The sequence below is a fragment of the Homo sapiens genome, chromosome 3, assembly GCF_000001405.40.
Source record: "Homo sapiens chromosome 3, GRCh38.p14 Primary Assembly".
NCBI classification, from domain to species: Eukaryota; Metazoa; Chordata; class Mammalia; order Primates; family Hominidae; genus Homo; species Homo sapiens.
The window spans coordinates 117,707,532-117,709,878 of NC_000003.12; the positions used below are offsets into that span (position 1 = coordinate 117,707,532).

The 2,347-nt window shown below is 34.7% G+C and overlaps 1 annotated feature.

The window, feature by feature from the left end:
• Positions 490-1,689: an enhancer, noted in NCBI's record as "MED14-independent group 3 enhancer chr3:117426868-117428067 (GRCh37/hg19 assembly coordinates)". NCBI's record gives its function as "activates an origin of replication core promoter dependent on BRD2, BRD4, P300/CBP and CDK7 cofactors, and independent of MED14, by STARR-seq in HCT116 cells {active_cell/tissue: HCT116}" and the evidence as "EXISTENCE:reporter gene assay evidence [ECO:0000049][PMID:35650434]".

A 2,347-nucleotide genomic window follows, 5' to 3' on the forward strand; every position in this document is an offset into this window, starting at 1 on the left:
TGTGTAAAGATGATTTAAATATTTTATCCTTTATTACTTGTTGCTCCAAATTTTTTTTTTCAATCTAAAGGAGTAATTGATACAAATCCAGTTAATTGGGTGGATGGTGAACTAGATGCATTGACAATACTCCAACCATTTTTATTTTAACTTGTAATCCTTTTAAGTGACTTTCTGATTTAAGTTAATTTCCTAATGGGAATTATTCACACAAACACTTCCCCAAATTACTGAGTTTACTGTCCCTTCTTGAGACAGTAAAAGAAATTCAGTAACCTAAATGTTCATGCCTTCTTACTAGGAAGACTTTGGGAAGAGCAGTTGCTGCTGTCACACTCATTATCCTTTAAGAAATAAATATGGAAAGTGTGTTTACTCTGCTAGGTGTTCAGAACCCTCCCTCAAATGAATAGTTGCCACTTTTGTAATGTACAAGTACTTTTAAAGATGATCTAACAAGCCATGAATATAACTAGGCTTTTCGCCCATCGTTTTCTTTCAGAAATCCGCTGTGTGGGCCATTGCAAACCAAAAGGTTGTTTGTGATTGGTAGACTACAGATGAAAATATAAAGTTATAAAAAATCAACTTGAACTTAATTTTAATATAGTTACAGATGAGAATTTGGTATGAAAGCTTATATATATAAATTAATGAAAATTTTACAGAGCATGTTATTTTCTGTTGTGCTATCTGAATACTATTTGAAAAACTATTAAAAATAAAACAATAATTTCCAAGTTTCATATTAAATTTAAAGTGTTAAAAATATCTAAGTTGAAATATCAGCTGTGAGGTATCACAGATTGGTGCAATGTTACAGTTTGGGAAAGACCAGTAAAGGACTAAGCTGTTATTGTTTGCAGGTGTTCCTCCTACCCTTATTCCCTACTTTATGATGATGAGAAATATAAACCAGTGGAAGGTTGAACATTTCCTTATTTTAATGGGAATTAAACTTTACTTCCCGCTGAGGACTACAAACAATGTTAAAAGAATTGAGGCAAAGTTTTGTTTGTTTTAAGTAGGAAATCATTGTGCCTGTTTTCACTGTGAACAAGTTTACCAGCCATGTTATTTTCAAGTTGTATCTATGCACCATTGCAGGACGTACCTCTTTCCAAACAACAGCAGCCCGAAATCGGGAGAGTTAGACAGACTCTCCCAAATTTGTAAAACTCTGGACAAGGAATGATTATGTTTCACCCAGCTAGTAGGTAAGACATTTGATGACACACATTCTCTAAATATCAGTTGAGTCACCCCTTTCCTGTTTGTGTGCTATTAAGACTTTGAGGTAAGCCCTGTAGAGTCTAGGGGTTGGGGAGGGAAGAGAGAGGAAATGGATTTTGGTATCAGACATATCTGATGTAAATCTTTGGCTTGCTAATTAAAAGACTGAATGAACTAAGGCAAGTTATTTGAATTTTTTGATTCTCAATTTCCTTGTTGTTATAATTTCAAAAAGTAATATTAGAATAATACCTACCCTGAGTCCTTGGATCCAGTAAACCCTCAAAAAAATATAGTAGTAGCTACCACCATGACAACTACTGTACTCCTACCACAATTTTATTTCAATATGAATTATTATTATCACTATATGCAACCTTACCTTTCTTCATAATATTTTTCCCATATGATTTATAACCCAGGCAGAAACTATCTTCCCACACATGCATAATCACATTGTCACTTGTCCCTGCACGTACCAGCAAATGCTTAGCAATTGTGAAAGGGCAATTTCTCTATCACTCAATAATTCTTTGCCTGTTAGAATGGACATAGTTGAAGAGCAATCTGTACTATGGTATTGTATACAGCAGCTGGTTTTTTTTTCAGGCATTTACCGAAAAGCTTTAGAAGTAATTCCTTAAGCTAACAAGATCCTGAACATGGAGCTGTTATGAAAAGCTCAGTGGCTCTCACCTCACCAAGGCTGGAGGAGAGAGGTGTGTGTCAGGACTTGGAATGAGGCAAGACATAATGGAGGAAATCCTTTGGGGTCAGTCACTTTTCCCCAGCACCTCATTAAGTCTGTATCAGAGGAAAAAAAGGTTCAAAGACACTTTTAGAATACTAGCCTTTTTATCTGAAAATAGGCCTCATGTAGGGAAGGAAAAAACAGCTTAAGCTAAGCAAGATAAGTAAGTCTTAGAGATCTATAGTGTCTATAGGTAACAATACTGCATTGTAAACTAAAAAATTTGCTGAAAGGGTGGGTCTTATGATAAGTGCTCTTATAATCTTATTGATTACATTAATAATCAATAAAGTGAGGTGGGAGAAAACTTTTGGAGAGAATGGATATATTTATAGCATGGATTGTGGTGATGGTTTCATAGTG